Genomic DNA, 16,373 nt, shown 5'->3' on the forward strand with positions numbered 1-16,373 from the left:
ACAAGGAGAAAGAGGAGCTTGTTAACCTGGCAATACCAATATTTAGCTATTATAGAACAGTCACTAAATGTCTCAGTTCTTCTAAGTGCATTATCTCATTTACTTCACAGCAACCTTATGAGGTAGGATGACAGACTCTCCTTGCCTATTAAAATCCATTTCTCCCTTTTCTCAAAACAATAGAGCTGGACACATGGCCTTCCAACTAGCCACTATATTTCCCAGCTTCCTTTGAAGCACATGAACATGTTAGGGCCAATATGTGAGTGTAAATGGTGAGTGCAACTATAGGTCACCTCCTTAAAAGAAAATCCCTTTGTCCTGGGCCAGTGTTCTATTTCCATTCCTTTGAGCTGGAATTCTATGACCCAACCTCCACAAAGAAGATGAGGACAATGACCTAGGGGAGGGTAGAGTAACAAGATGGAGGGCACATGGGTGTGTGAATGGATGAGTAGAGCAGAACCTCTCCACTACTGGATCCACTGGGGGCTGCCACATGAGAAAAAAACTTGTATCATCTTTAAGCCACTGTATTTTTGTGGCATTCTATTTTTCCCAATCAATTTGAGGTAGGCATATTATCCTCCCATTTTACAAATTAGAAACTGAGGCACAAACAGTTGAATAATTTACCCAATATCATAGAGTTTATTAATAAGAAACACCCAGTTTTGCATTTATGCAACTCAGTCCAAGAGCCCACACTTTTAATTATTACTCCCTGTTTAATGACCTCTCAACCAAACATGGGCCACTTGGGCAATAGTTGTGAAGTAAGCATTTTAAATTCTCAGGCGTTTATTATATGTTTCCATTCTGTGAACTACACATGTGTAGGAGGACATTGAATGGATGTGATATGACTTTGCTTAGTGACTGAGTTGCATTTACCACTTTAAATTATCTCTCCTTTTTGGGGAGAGGTTTAGGTTAACCCTTAGATCTAGAAATAGGTTTGCCTCTTTCTTTTTCTTTCTCCCTTTTATGTCACTTCTAGGCTTGTGAGAGGCTAAGATGATTGTCACTTTTCCCCTCTGATTTGCACATCCCCAATTATCCTGAAGAAGTTTTCCAGAATAAGCCATCAAGTTATATCCTAAAGGATATACCTATCCTTTAGATCTCATTTAGAAATACTGGAGTTTAAAGCACTGGTCTAAGGCGATCTTCCAATCTGGCAGTTAAAGAAAGTTTCTAAACGCTGTTTCTGGTTGACCACTGCTTTTGACTGCCCTAGGAAAAACATCAGAAAGACTTTTATGTCATTAGAGCTGCCAAAATTGGCATAAGAATATAAATTTTCTTATTAAATCTGTCCTAACTCAGTCAACAGAGATGTGGACAATGGAACGAACGGACATTTTATACAAAAGAAAGACTGCCAAACACATAGGCACAGTGAAGCCACAATTATTACCTCTTTGAAACTCCTACCATGACCACAATATGTCTTTTTATTAGCTTTATACACACTGGGTGATTTTCAGAATATTCTATAATCAACATTTTCTCCTTCAGCACCCTGAGAAAATAGAGATGTTCAAATGATGGCTCCATAAATATCTATGGAGAAAAATCACAATGCCTAGGATGTTTCTTGATGAAAAAGCATTCTCACATTTCTGTCGGAACAGAAATACTATGATATTTCTGGCAAGTAAGAGTTCATATACAAATATGGCTGCTGAGATGTCAACAGGTCAGCTCTTCACACCCAAGCTGTTAGGGAAGAACTATTCAAATCTGTCACCCAGAAGAAATAATAACCGTAGCACCTTTCCTTAAATGATACTTCACAGTGTTCAAAAAGCTTTTATAGGTGGTGGTGTAAGAAGCATGGGAGATGTAGGAACTGGATTATTTTTATTTTTCTCTTCTCTGACAGTCTGACTATGCGTTCCTCCTCCACACAGTAAAAATGAACTGCTCTGTGATAGTATTTAAGTTATTATCTCTAAGCTCCAAATCTGCCCCCTGCTTTGTGATGGTAGAATTGGGACTCTACAAACCACACTTCTGCTTTGCAAGCTGATCCCAGTTAAGCTTTGCTAACAGGAGGCACTTCAGGGTGACTCCAAGGTTGGAGGAGGAAAAAGGGATTTGTTTCTTACTGTTCTAGCTTTGCTGCTTGTTCCTTTGAATGTCACTCCAATGATGCTACTTCATCTCAGCAGGAGAAATTCCTTTCTATAGCAGAAACTAAATTTAGTTTATAGTTTCTCTAGCACTTGTAGGAGTGCTCCATTGCTCCATCTCCAGAGACATTCACCTCTAGGAAGAGGCTGGAGCTCCCTCAAGAGTCTGGTTTCAGCCCCTGAGACCCTCTGCTGAACTCAGGGACCCATTAATTAACAGAAAGCAAAACTCAGACTGGCTTAAGTAGAAAAGGAGACTTACTGGCTCAGAAGTCCAGGAGTTGGAAGAGTTTCACTATTGGTTGATCTAGTTCAGTGATATCACCAAGGACTGAGTTTTAGTATTTTTTTCTTCTTGCACTCTACTACCCAGGTCCAGCTTCATTCCATGACTGATTTTGTGGTACCTTTTCCCCCAACCAGTGAACAAAATCCTTGTTCATTGCATTGTTTGGACTAAACTGAACCAATCATGGTGAATAGGTACTATGTACTGATTGGTGTAGGATTGGGTTACTGACCATTCTTAAGCTAGTTGTCATGTCAAGGTCGATGTGAGGATAAGGTAAGATTATTCTGATTCGCATACTAATCAGGACTCATTCATTTCTTGGACTGGCCATGAGGTTCAGGTGCCCAAAGCCAATGAACCATCTGAGAAAGAGGTAGATATTTTTAGAAAGGGGGAATAGGTTGCTGGATAAATTACCAATTTACCAATGGGTACTGGCTGTCCAGTACCCATACAAATCCTTCTTCCTGTCCATACTCTCAGAAACATCTATGTTTTCCTACTAGAAACAACTCAAGATTTAGTATGTTAGCTCCAAGTTCCTTTTGATTCTCTGGGTGATGTGGGATCCTCTCCTTCATGTCTGGCTGAAACGTCTCATAGTCTAGGGACTTTCGTTAATAATATGTTATCCATCTATAACACAATCCATATAAACTGATGAAGAAAGAACAGGATAACTTTAATTAAAAAAAGAATCCCATTTGGAAAAGAGAAGAGTGGGAAACAACCCACAGTGGCCATTAGTCTATGACAGTATCATTCCTGCTGGACAGAAGTAATGGGGACTAGATTCCAGTAGTGAATTCTTTGGATGGTCATGCTGGCTGCTCAAGGTCTTCTATTTAGGAAGCTATACTTTGCCCACTCTTTTCCTTGGCTCCATCTGGGAGGCAGTATGCTATTAGGGTTAAGAGTAAAGGCTTTGCAGTCAGAATGCCTGGGTTCTAATGCTGGATTTGCTACCTTTTTTTTTTTTTTTTTTTTTTTGAGACGGAGTCTCACTCTGTCACCCAGGCTGGAGTGCACTGGCACACACTCGGTTCACTGTAGCCTCTGCCTCCCAGGTTCATGTGATTCCCCTGCCTCAGCCTCCGGAGCAGCTGAGATTACAGGCACGTGCCACTATGTCCAGCTGAGTTTTGTATTTTTAGTAGAGACGGGATTTCACCGTATTGGCCAGGCTGGTCTCAAACTCCTGACCTCAAGTGATCCACTCGCCTTGGCCTCCCAAAGTGCTGGGATTACAGGCGTAAGCCACCATGCCCGGCTGGATTTGCTACTTTTTAATTGTATACTTGGGTTCTAATACTGGATTTGCTACTTTTTAATTGTATGCCTGGGTTCTAATACTGGATTTGGGACTTTTTAATTGTATGACATTCAACAAGTTTCTTAAACTCTTTGTGCTTCAGTCTCCTCAGATGTAAAACAAAGACAATAATAGTACTTACCTCTTAAAATTAGTAAGCATGCAAAGAGGAAATGAATGCATGCAAAATTCTTAGAACATTATTTAACATATATTGAGTGCTCAGGAAATGTTAGTTATGATTATTTCAACTAGCCATTGAGGAGGATAATATGATACTTTCGGGGTGCCTTTGGCAGAAGAATGTCCCTCAATTATTTTTTGTTTTCAGAGATTCAGAGGGTACATGTGCATGTTTGTTGCATGGACGTATTGCATATGGTAGGGTTTGGGCTTCTAGTGTGGCCATTACCTGAACAGTGAACATTATATCAAATAGGTAATTTTTCAACCATCACCCTCCTCCCAGTCTCCCCTCTTTTGGATTCACCAGTGTCTATTATTTCCATCTTTGTGCCCATGTGTACCCTCTGTTTACAGAGGTACTTATAAGTGAGAACATGTGGTACTTGATTTTCTGTTTCTGAGTTATTTCACTTAGGATAATGGTCTCCAGCTCCATCCATGTTGCTGCAAAAGACATTATTTTATTCTTTTTTATGGATGCATAATATTCCATGATGTATATATGCCACTTTTTTTTTCCAGCAAAATAATTTTATTTCCTAACTTATGGTAACATATACATCCAATGTGTGCTCACCTTGCACATCTATTCACAAATGACTTCCAAAAGACAACTGCTTTGATATTTAAGCATGTGCTCAAAGTTATCTTAGTTGAGATTTGAAAAATGCTTTAAACAGATAACATTCTGAGTATATTGGATTGGTCACAGCAGAATTTACTTTAGTTAGATGAGTTCTACAAATTTAAAGCTTTGAAAAGCTACTACTTTTCCCATCCAGATGAATACGATGCAGCAATATCAGCTTGTATTCCAGAGAAATCTCATTAAGTTTTTCTGGTAATGGAACCACTTATCCACATCTGTTGGTACCGTGCAGGCAGATTCACAGGGTGGTGGTAAAGCATCCACAATGGCTCTGGCAGCATCAGGATCACACTTGAAGGGGCTCTTGGACACAGTTGTATTCATGCAACTGATTCCTTTTACATTCATTTTCTTAGTCACTAATGCTTTCCAATGGTCATGAGTGGTTTTAATAGTATCAATGGCAAAGTCCTTATCTTTAAATTCTGCATTAAAAGCAAACTCATTTCTAGTTTTCCATCAGGAACCTTATACCTTCTAACCCAGTCCACAGTAGCTTCTAAGTAGCCAGGTTTCAGCTGTTTGACATCATTGATATCATTACAATTGGCTGCATCAGGATCATCTACATTGATGGCAATGACTTTCCAGTTAGTTTCCCCTTTGTCAATCATAGCCAATATGCCTAGAACTTTCATGCCAATTATTTCACCTCTTGCACATACCTTGCTTCCAATTTCACACACATCAATTGGGTCACTGTCACCACAACAGCCAGTATGTTCATCATTGTGCCCTGGGTCTTTCCAAGTCTGAGGGATGGCACCATAGTTCCAGATATATCCTTTATACGGGAACAAATTCGCAACATAACGAAGTTTTTCTTTTTTCACATCTTGTTTAATGGGGTTTAAAGGGTCCTTTGTAGCAATCTCCATTTTTGCATTAGACAGCGTGGTACTTCCAACCACCACGTGGAACACATCCTTATCTGCATAAATTGGAATATTATGAAATGGAGATATATATTGTCCTTTCTCATTTTTGAGGAAGACTCGGTACTACAGGGAGAAGGGTGTGGTGTGCACTTCGGTGCTGAAGCCGCTCATTGCGCCAGAGTCCAGCCACCGCCGCTGTCACAGAGCCACTGGCCCCGCAGGCGTTGCCGACTGACAAAAGGAGAGAGCCCTGCGCCTGCGCGCTGCAAGCACTCTATAGCACCTTTTTTTTTTTTTTAAATCCAATCATCTGTTGATGGATACATAGGTTGATGCCATGACTTTGCTATTGTGAATAGTGCTACAATAAACATAAGAATGAAGGTTTTTTTTTTTGATATAACAATTTCTCTTCCTTTGGGTAGATGCCCAGTAGGGGGGTTGTTGAGGGGGGTTGTTAGTTATTTGAGAAAAGGGAATACTTCTACACTGTTGGTGGGAATGTAGATTAGTATAACCTCTATGGAAAATAGCTGGAGATTTCTCAAATAGAACTTCCTTCAGTATTTAATAGGCTTCTGACCTAATTGCTTCTGGTCAGTTCTGTAGTCAGATATTTGGTAATAGAGATCAGATTCATAATCCTTGAGTTTGGAAAGTAGATCTTTTGAGGATAGGTATTGGTTCATGTGCAACTGGCCATAATTTTCCACCCACTTTTGTTTTGAAACACAAATATCTTAGATCATCTCACTAATGCGTATGACTAGCTAGGTCTTGTTTCTTTGCCTTTTCTTGAACCAAAGCTTCCACTAGGAATACCCACTGTGATCTATATCCATAGTGCATGCTTGCCAAGCTGTAAAATCAACTGTCAGGCAAAGTTGGAAGGGTAAATCCCCAGCCACCAGTGCTCAACTACTCTGCCCTATTGAGGCTGGCGTCATCTTGGCTGACTGTATGATTGCGGGCCTTATATTACCTTTATCTTTCTTGCCCAGGTTGATGGGAGCAGTTTATAGACAGAAGAATGCCTCATGACAATATGTCGATCAACAAAATGGGCACCTGAACTATTTAAGGCATTATACCAGGCATCATCCCCTTTCATTGCCATTGCTCCAACACTAGCTGAAGTTTGAGCTGCTCTATAAGACTTTTGTAAAGGTCTATTGGGAGAAAATATGAAGACAGGCCCAGGCATTTATAGAAAGGCTTTATTTTGTATCCATTTTCACACATCACCCAGACAAATCATGAATTTTACTTTTCCAATTTTCATATAAAACTACATACACCGCACTGTACATGTAAAACAAATTTGGAAAGGAGCCTCAAGCTGGCCTCTGAAATTGTGTAAGCAATTATCACATTTTTGTGCGCAAATGCAGTAATTATATGTGTAATTTGGCAGCTGGGTTTGAAAATTTGGCCTTAAATGGAACATAGACAGGAAAAATAAATGTTGGAAAATGCCAATATTTTATAAAGATTTTGAATCAAATAATGGTGGAATTATTGCAAGCCATCTTAATTTTTAATTATAATGATCATTACACAATATACAATAATTTTTTGAGGAAGAAAAGAACTATAGATCAATTGCCCATAGTTTTTGTCAGAAAAAAATGCCTAATTTCTTTGGGAGGATAATTGTATTTTTCAGAGGTTATGGTACATATTTCAAAAGCTTTTTTTTCTTATAAAGAAAAGATAGTGATTGCCTAGTAGTTCAAGTTCTATGACATATTTTACTATGGGAAGAATAGAACTCTTTGTACTGATTAGAGGAAAAGTAGTATTAAGTCTGTACTTATATTTGAGCTAGTAATCTTAAATTAGATAAAGCTTTCTTATAAGCTTTAAGCTTTGGAATATAAGATTACAGCCTAAATGAAGAGTAATTTAGATTTCTTTGATCTAGATTTAAATTGAATTTACATAGTAAAATCATAGTTTTTATATTGTCATCAAGATTGACTCTAATGCATGTGCTTTTTCATGTGGTTAGGAGGGCTAGGGATTGGATTTAATATAAGGATGGCTGTGGAGTAGTATCTTCTATTCTTAGCAGGGTAATGGAGAGGTTGATTTTGCAGGTTCTGTAGTCAGCCAGCCTGGATTCCAATCCTGGCCTTACTACTCTAGTAGCCCTTTCTGCACCTCAGTTTCCTCATCTGGTAAAATGGGAGTGGTAATATGTCCATCAAATAGAGGTTTTGTCAGGACTGAATGAGATAATCATCTAAAGCACTTTGTACAGTATCTGGCTCTGGTAAGACCTCAAACATGGCAAGCTTTTTTTTTTTAAATCATCATTTGCTTTCAGTGTTTAAATTGCAATCATGACTAAGTGATCAGAAGAGATTGTGCAACTCAGAAATGCAATCTGAGGGGAAGAGAAAGCCAGTGAGTGACCCAAGTATGTGGAAAGTTCTCAAGAAATTCAGGTTCTTCATGATGAGGTAGTGTCCCCAATAGAATGATAAAGGAAGAAGACAGTGTGGGCTGAGCTCAGTTGTGGAATTTTATTTCAATTCTGTATCTAGCAATTACAGCCTTCCAGGCCCGTGCTAAGCTAGGGTATAAAGAAAGATTAAGCAAGTCTCTCTCTAGGAGCCTACAATCTTTAGAAGGAATTAGATAAGTACGCAAATGGTTATAATGCATGATGCAATACAGTCCAGGGAGAAATGAACAAAAAAGATGCCATGGGCATTATAAAAAAGAATGGGGGAAAAATACATAGGTTTTTTTTTTCACTAAGATTCTGCAAGTTTTCTTAGAATAGGTAACTTTTGAGGTAGGCATCAAATATTGTAAAGGTTTTGGTTAAGCAGACGTAATTGTACTGGGGAGAAATTCCAGGTGAAGAAGAGGAGAGAAGAGAAGGGTGCACCCAAGAATACCTGGGGCTTCCAACGTGGTGAGGAGTCATGGACACAGGCCATTAAGGGAGGCTTGGCTGTATTAAGGGAGGCTTGGCTGTATTTGGAAAGCCTTTAAATGATATGGTGAGAAGGCTGCTTCAATTTCATAAGCAGCAGGCAGCTTTTAAAGAGGAGTGTTTTGATTTGATCTGTATCATGCCTTAGATAATCACTTTGAGATCTTGTTAAAACCCATATTCCTGTCCCCCTCTCCCAGAGATTCTGATTCAGTAGGTTTAGGGTGAAGCCCCAGAATTTGCATTTCCAACAATGTCACATGTTACACTGATGCTGTGGGTTCACAAAATACATCACAAATAGCACTGCCTTCCAAAAGTTTTGTTTGCATGTCCCATTAGTAGAAGAATTTTGAGTGTGTATCCTCACTGTATTTTTACTCATTTGTAAGTTATAGACAAACTACCATGTCAATATCTATTATGTATATCATAAAACCTATACCAATTATAACCCTAAAGGCTGAGCTGGCTGGGTGTGGTGGTTCATGCCTATAATCCCAGCACTTTGGGAGGCCGAGGCGGGCCGATCATGAGATCAAGAGATCGAGACCATCCTGGCCACCACGGTGAAACCCTGTCTCTACTGAAAATACAAAAATTAGCTGGGTGTGGTGTCATGCACCTGTAATCTCAGCTACTCGAGAGGCTGAGGCAGGAGAATTGCTGGAACCTGGGAGGCGGAGGTTGCAGTGAGCCGAGATCGTGCCACTGCACTCCAGCCTGGTGACAGAGTGAGACTCAGTCTCAAAAAAAAAAAAAAAAAAAAAGCTACGCTAATGGTAATCATAGCTTTATTTTTATTTAAATTATTAATAGTACAGAAGTTTTTGCTCTCACTAAAATTATAATTATATTTGAGTATGCATCACTATTTTACAAACTTTTGTTAAAAAAATTCTTTGGCTTTTGTTAAAACATTCAAATGTGTTTCTCAATTCAGCTTTTCAGCACTTTGTTGTAATGGTTTTTGCAACTAAAAAACATGTCTCACAAAGACGCATAAATCCAAATGGAAGAATTTCCTTACTGGCTGTTTTAAGTAATTCCCATTCACCAAATTTGAAAATGCTTATGTTAAAATTTGGCTAGTAGATTTCCATCTTCTTTGATGTCAATCAGTAGTTCTTACAGACAATTAGGCAATATTACTGTTGTTTTATTGTTATCAAAATGCGTTCAAATTCCACTGAAATTTTTTGTTTAGAATAATTTTAAACTGGTTTAAAAATCTTGCTTCCAACTTTTTAGAATGTACTAATAGGAGATTTAAAAAAATTGATGATGATTGCATTTATCTTGTTTTTGCATCTAAATCACATCTGTATTCCCAGCTACTCGGGAGGCTGAGGCAGGAGAATGGCGTGAACCCGGGAGACGGAGTTTGCAGTGAGCCGAGATCGCGCCACTGCACTCCAGCCTGGGCGACAGAGCGAGACTCCGTCTCAAAAAAAAAAAAAAAAAAAAAAAAAAAAAATTTCTAGTTCATTATTGAAACATTAACTTTCACCTTGAAGGGATAAGTTTTTTTTATTTTTTATTCTTGCCATACCAATAGCTGTTTTTAATTTTTTAGAGGAAATACTATAATTAAAAGAGTTCCAGGCCGGGCGCGGTGGCTCACGCCTGTAATCCCAGCACTTTGGGAGGCCGAGGCGGGCGGATCACGAGGTCAGGAGATCGAGACCATCCCGGCTAAAACGGTGAAACCCCGTCTCTACTAAAAATACAAAAAATTAGCCGGGCGTAGTGGCGGGCGCCTGTAGTCCCAGCTACTTGGGAGGCTGAGGCAGGAGAATGGCGTGAACCCGGGAGGCGGAGCTTGCAGTGAGCCGAGATCCCGCCACTGCACTCCAGCCTGGGCGACAGAGCGAGACTCCGTCTCAAAAAAAAAAAAAAAAAGAGTTCCAAAAAATGTTAACAGTTCCAGCAATGATTATTTCTAAAATGTAAAGATTTGAAACATAATTTATACAAAGCTAAAAACCAGAAGGATTCATTCTTGCTTTTTCCTTTTTTTTAAAAATCCAGACAATTTGTTACAGGACAGTTCAGCATGTGATAGCAGCTGCAGCCTCAGTCACCCTCAGAATTGCAGTCCCTCCCCATGGGGACAGAGCGCCGCACTGAGGACAGCAACATGTGTTCAATCGGCTTCTTAGGGTTTTCCTCCAGGTCCATCTTAATTGCTCCAGATTCAGACAGTTTCCGCTCCAACTTATCTCTTGTCAGGTGCATGCCACCAGACACCAGAGGACCGATAAACTGAGCCTTGATATCTCCTTCCAAGAAAACAAATATTGTGGGCAGATTCCTATCAGGATAATTGGGTATGCAGGTTGTTGAAATGGCTTTGATAAATTTGACATCAGGAAACTTCCTGGCAAGTCTGCTGAGGTGCTAGTTTATCAGGGCACTGAGGGGAATTCCTTGTTGGTAAAGGTGCAAGATGACCCAGAAACCCTCACCGGCTTTGGTAGCTTCTTGAACATAATCCTTCCCTGAGATCTCCAAAACTTCTCCAAATGTATTCTTCAGTTTAGATGCTTTCCACTCAACTAGTCTCTGCCGTGTGTACATTTCAATAGCACGTTCGTCCTCCTCATTAAACTCATCTTCATGATCTTCCAGCTCTTTCAAAGCCCTATCTTTATATGTTGTCACCACTGACTGCTGGAGGATGCGCTTCTCCTCTTCCACCTCATTTTCCAATTCTTTCAGACTTTCCTTGGAGGGCAAGATACCCTTTTTGGTAAGATGTCATTCCACTCAGTGTCTGCGTTGGGGTCCTGCATCTTGTTTCCAATCGCTCAAGCCAGTTGCTCCACCATGTTTATTAATATTAAAAAAATACTTGAGAGGTAGCATGCATGCTATGGATAGCCCCCTTATCATCACAGACAAGGTTAGCATATTTGGAACACTTGTCTATTTTGTAAATATATGTTTTTAGTTCTAAGTTTTAATACTTTGCCACAAGCAAACCTCTGTGCTGTAGAAAATACATCCATAAGTAAATATAAATTGAGAGGTTAATTTATTCTCTCAATTTATTTTAAACAATTAAATTAACTATATTTTAAAGTTTTTTAAAACATAAAATTAACTAAACTGATGACATCTTGCAGTATTTTGTGCACTTCTGGCTTCAATTCCTTAGCTGCAAATGGTTGCCTGTATATAGCAGGATGTCACATGTGATCTGTTTCAGGAAACTTAGCCAAATCCTTTTAAAATTTTGGTCAAGGGAGTCGCTCTGTTACTTACACAGCTTTACTGTTAAAGAAGTTATTTACTCCTGGGAATACATCTTATCTGCATATTTTACCTTTGGCGGTTTGAAAAAAGTACAGTTCTTCATACATTTTATTATTGAAACACAACCTAGTGAAAATCATATGCTGAGACTTGGTAAAAAAGAAATATTTGGACCCATTCAAATTACATAACAAACTTTGTAAAACAGTAGAATTTGTCCAAATTCTTGATTAAAAATAAAATCTCAGGAATGGTTTCTATAAATCTTATGAAAATGGATTCCAATTCCACTGAACTTCCTTGTTTGAAAGATTTTAAACTGGTTAAAAAATCCTGTATTTGTTGACAAAGGTGTCCATTTTAGTTTGTACCAAATTATTTTGAATGTATTATTTTAACATTCACCAAAGCAAAAAATTAGAATTTCATAATAAAATGTAGCCTTTTGATTTTCACTGTTAAAAGGAAACTTTACGGTTGGGCGCAGTGGCTCATGCCTGTAATCCCAGCACTTTGGGAGGCTGAGGTGGGCAGATCACCTGAGGTCAGAAGTTTGAGACCAGCCTGGCCAACATGGTGAAACCCCGTCTCTACTTAAAAAAACACAAAAATTAGCCGGGCGTGGTGGCAGGTGCCTGTAATCCCAGCTACTCAGGAGGCTGAGGCAGAATTGCTTGAACCTGGGAGGCGGAGGTTGCAGTCAGCCGAGATCGCGCCATTGCACTCCAGCCTGGAGGACAAGAGCGAGATTTTGTCTGAAAAAAAAAAAAAAAAAAAAAAAAGGAAACTTTACATGTTTAGTGAAAGCTTTTAAAGTAAAGGGTTGAGTTTTACTTAATTTAAACATCTTTGAAAAATTGCACAGGCTTGTGTCTATGTTTTAGAGTATATTATTTCTCTTTTTTCTTATTTTTGAAGTAGTTTGTTAATTGTGATTGGTTCATGTTATCATTACCATTATTTTAAAGCACAGTTCTGTATATGCATACTATAATCATTAACCAATATGTCAAGATGCAATATACACATAGGATGAAACTGTTAATGAAAATATATCTAAATCCATATTTTAAATGGTCTTCTAGATAATTTTGAATTTTTAAGGCCAATTTCTTATTACTGATTTTATCTTATAGTGTGTTTGATCAAGAGTTTATACTAGGGGTAGTAAATAGATTGGGTAGTAAATAGATTCAATAAACAATACAGTTTTCCAGAAACAACCAAGAAATAAAATACATGTCTGATCTCAAGGAGCTTTAAATTACATAAAGAGACAGGATGTATTCTCATGAAGCCATTCCAGGAGAGTTACAAAGCCATGGATTACTGATTTGGGCAGGACTGTAAACTGAGGAGTATGAGGAAGAGGTAGGCTTGCTTTTCCCATGGAATCACTTGCTCCTTGATGAATAAAGTTGTGCCAGACTGATTCATTTCTGTTGACTAAGTCAGCTTCATCCAGTCTAATAACTCAGAGGAGAATATAGTAAGACCCAAACACTTTAATATGAGTGAGTTTTAAGGTATTTTATAATTTTCAGGGTTTTTGTGAGGATCAAATGCCTACCACATTGTCTGGCATATTGTATGTGCTCAGCAATTAGTACTTATTATTGACCGGATTAGGAAGAGGGGTTTGGATGTGGGATGGAACAGCCTTGTGTGTATCTCTGAGGAGGTGTGTGGTAGAGAAAGGGCTAAAACATTCTGAATCTATTTTAGGATATTATGCAGTTCTGTGAGAATGGGTAAAATGCATAAAGTATACTCTTAAGGGTGTATGTGCACTATCTAGGGGGATTGAAAAAAAATGACTGGTATGGAAGGAAATACTTACGTTACTAGGGAGCCTAATTAGGGAAAGTGGGTTTTAAGAGGAGTTGAACTTTGAGTTGAGAGATAACCAATGAAGTTAGGTGAAATTTAGGAGAGTGAGAAGATCAGGAAATATTCCATGTGGAAACATTGACATAAAAAAGTAGATCATGAATAAAAACCTGAACTCCTTAAGTTTCTTTTTTTTGAATGTAAAATGGTGCATAATTCCACACAGGCAAACAAAATTCTCATTTATTCATTGTCTAAACACACACACACACACACACACACACACACATATTTAGAGACAGGGTCTCCCTCTGTCACCAAGGCTAGAGTGCAGTCACATGATCATAGCTCACTACAACCTCGAACTCCCGGGCTCAAGTGATCCTCCCATCTCAGCCTCCTGAGTAACTAAGACTACAGGTGCATGCCACTCTGCCCAGCTAATTAAAAATATTTTTTTTGGTAGAGATGAGGTCTCGCTATGTTTCTCAGGCTGGTCTCAAACTTCTGGCCTCTAGCAAGCCCCCTGCCTCTGCTTCTCAAGGTGCTGGGATTACTGGTGTGAGCCACCGTGCCTGACCCTAAACCCATATTTATTAAATGCCCACTATGTGCAAGTCACCATTACAGGCATTGGAAAACAGCAGTGAGCAAAAGAAATAGTCTCTGCTGTCATGGAGTTTACATTCTACTGGTGGCAATAGACACAAAGATAAGTAATAAACAGAGAAGAGAAATAAAGCAGGATCAGGGTTTTGAGTATAGCCCGATTGTGTGTGTGCGGGTGTAAGCATATCTTAGATTCCCTAAAACACAGAGCCTGAGATACACCTTATGTCCTAAAAAATCTTAGGAGATGTGGTTCCAGGGCAGCAAAGGTAGGGGAAAAGGGAACATAAAGCAGTGAAATCAGAGAAGCAAATAAAAGGTGGCGCATTTGGTCACAGCCCCAGAAGGAATAGTTGGCTGCTTGGTCACTAAGGACATTTCCAGAGAGGCTATATGGAGCTTTATGCTTTAAAACTGTCTGCTGGAGGGAGGAAAGGAGAGAAGTTTATGTTGCTTTCTTCCCACCTTTTGTTTCTCACTGATCAAAGCTTCCCTAACACGATGTTCCACTTCTGGTTTTTGTTATCTGGTCTCTCTGGGAAGCTACTGGGGAGGCCGGAACCTTCATGGGCCAAGTTGGTTTGGACCTGGACTCAGGAGCTATAGAGGGCTGACTCTCTCTGCACGGGGAAAGCCGACTCAGCCAGCAGAGCTAAGAGATGAGCAGATGAAGGTGTCAACCAGGGGTTTGATCACAAGAATTGCAGAGCTTTAATTGCATTTGGTGGAGCTACTCCATCTAGGAAGTAGGGCAAATGGCTGATGTCTGGGAACAGGTAGGACAAATGAATCTGAGGAGGCACATAAATTGGATCTGTTATATGAACTCTTTTCTATGGTGGTCAGACCTCTCGGATAAGGTGCTACTTGAGCAGAGTTCTGAAGTAAGTGAGAAGGCCAACCAGATGGATATCTGGCAGAAATTTATTCTTGGCAGAGGGTATCTCAAGTGCAAAGAGCGTGAGGAAAGAATAGGAGGTGGTATCATAGAGTATTTGAGGAGCAGAAAGAAAGCTAGTGTGGCTAGATTGGAATCAGTTAGGGAAAGGGTGATAGAAGATGAGGTCAGAAAGGCAATGGGGTCCTAGCCCATGAAGGGCTTTCTGGGCCATGATAAGGTCTTTGGCTTTTTATTCATAGTGAGGTGGAAGCCACTGGAGATGTTGAAGCAGAAGAATGACATGGTATGACTTTTTTTTTTTTTTTTGATGGAGTCTCTCTCTTTTTGTCACTGAGGCTGGAGTGCAGTGGGGTGATCTCAGTTCACTGCAACCTCTGCCTCCCAGGTTCAAGCGATTCTCCTGCCTCAGCCTCCTGAATAACTGGGATTACAGGCACCTGCCACCCATGATGGGCTAATTTTTGTATTTTTACAAGAGATGGAGTTTTACCATGTTGATCAGGCTGGCCCGAAACTCCTGACCTTAAGCAGTCCACCCACCTCGGCCTCCCAGAGTGCCAGGATTACAGGCGTGAGCCACTGCATCCGGCTCTGACTTCTGTTTTTAAAGGAACATTCTGGCTTTTGGTAGAGGATAGTTTATGGAGGAGTAAAGGGGAAAGGTGGGAGACCAGCTTGAAGACTCTAGGATCAGATGGCGGCTGTTGAGATAGGGAGACAATGGATTCTGGTTACATTAAACTAGGGCTGTTGGTGTGAAAGAAAGAGAGAACTTATGGATGATTTCAAGAGTCTTGGCCTGATCAACTTGAAGTAAAGAAATGAGTCTCACTAAGGCCAAGTTCATTTCCTTTGATAGGAACTTATCTATTTTGCCAATAAGAAGCTGTCGCTGAGCAGGATCTTCCCTTGTAAAATATTCTGAGTTGAAGTCACACATAATGCATAATATGTTCAATTAATTTATGTTTTAGATCCACTGGGTATAAGTCAATTGAAATTTAAAATTTTCATTATGTGTTAAATCTAGTTATAGTATCTCTGTCAAAGAAAAAGGCAGAATTTAGCCCTAAAAGTAATAAATTGCCTAAGCGGTGGCAATTAGTGTGTGTGGTGGTTGTGTGTGTGTGTGTGTGTTGGTTGAGGGATGATGAAATGAATTTATTTTTAGTAGCCCTACAATGAAAGGGAGGCAGGAACTCCCATATAATATTTTAGATTGCTTAAGATGTTGTCATGCCAGTTTTCATTGTTATTGATGCTAAACACTCTAAGAATATCTCTGGCTCATACAAAAGGTCCTGAATATTTCAATGATATATGAAACAAAAAGGCTTCCTAGATGTCTGTGAAACAACACTGATGGCTTCAAC

The 16,373-nt window shown here is 39.4% G+C and overlaps 2 pseudogenes, besides 1 other annotated feature; both read right to left on the minus strand.

The window, feature by feature from the left end:
* Positions 4,445–5,729, minus strand: PP1P (pyrophosphatase (inorganic) 1 pseudogene; annotated as a pseudogene).
* PDCL3P3 (PDCL3 pseudogene 3) lies at positions 10,294–11,224 on the minus strand (annotated as a pseudogene).
* Positions 10,405–10,699: a silencer, noted in NCBI's record as "tiled region #5433; HepG2 Repressive non-DNase unmatched - State 13:Ctcf, and K562 Repressive DNase matched - State 12:CtcfO". NCBI's record gives its function as "represses a minimal TATA promoter and a strong SV40 promoter by Sharpr-MPRA in HepG2 and K562 cells {active_cell/tissue: HepG2 | K562}" and the evidence as "EXISTENCE:reporter gene assay evidence [ECO:0000049][PMID:27701403]".

This window comes from Homo sapiens, chromosome 3, assembly GCF_000001405.40.
Source record: "Homo sapiens chromosome 3, GRCh38.p14 Primary Assembly".
NCBI classification, from domain to species: Eukaryota; Metazoa; Chordata; class Mammalia; order Primates; family Hominidae; genus Homo; species Homo sapiens.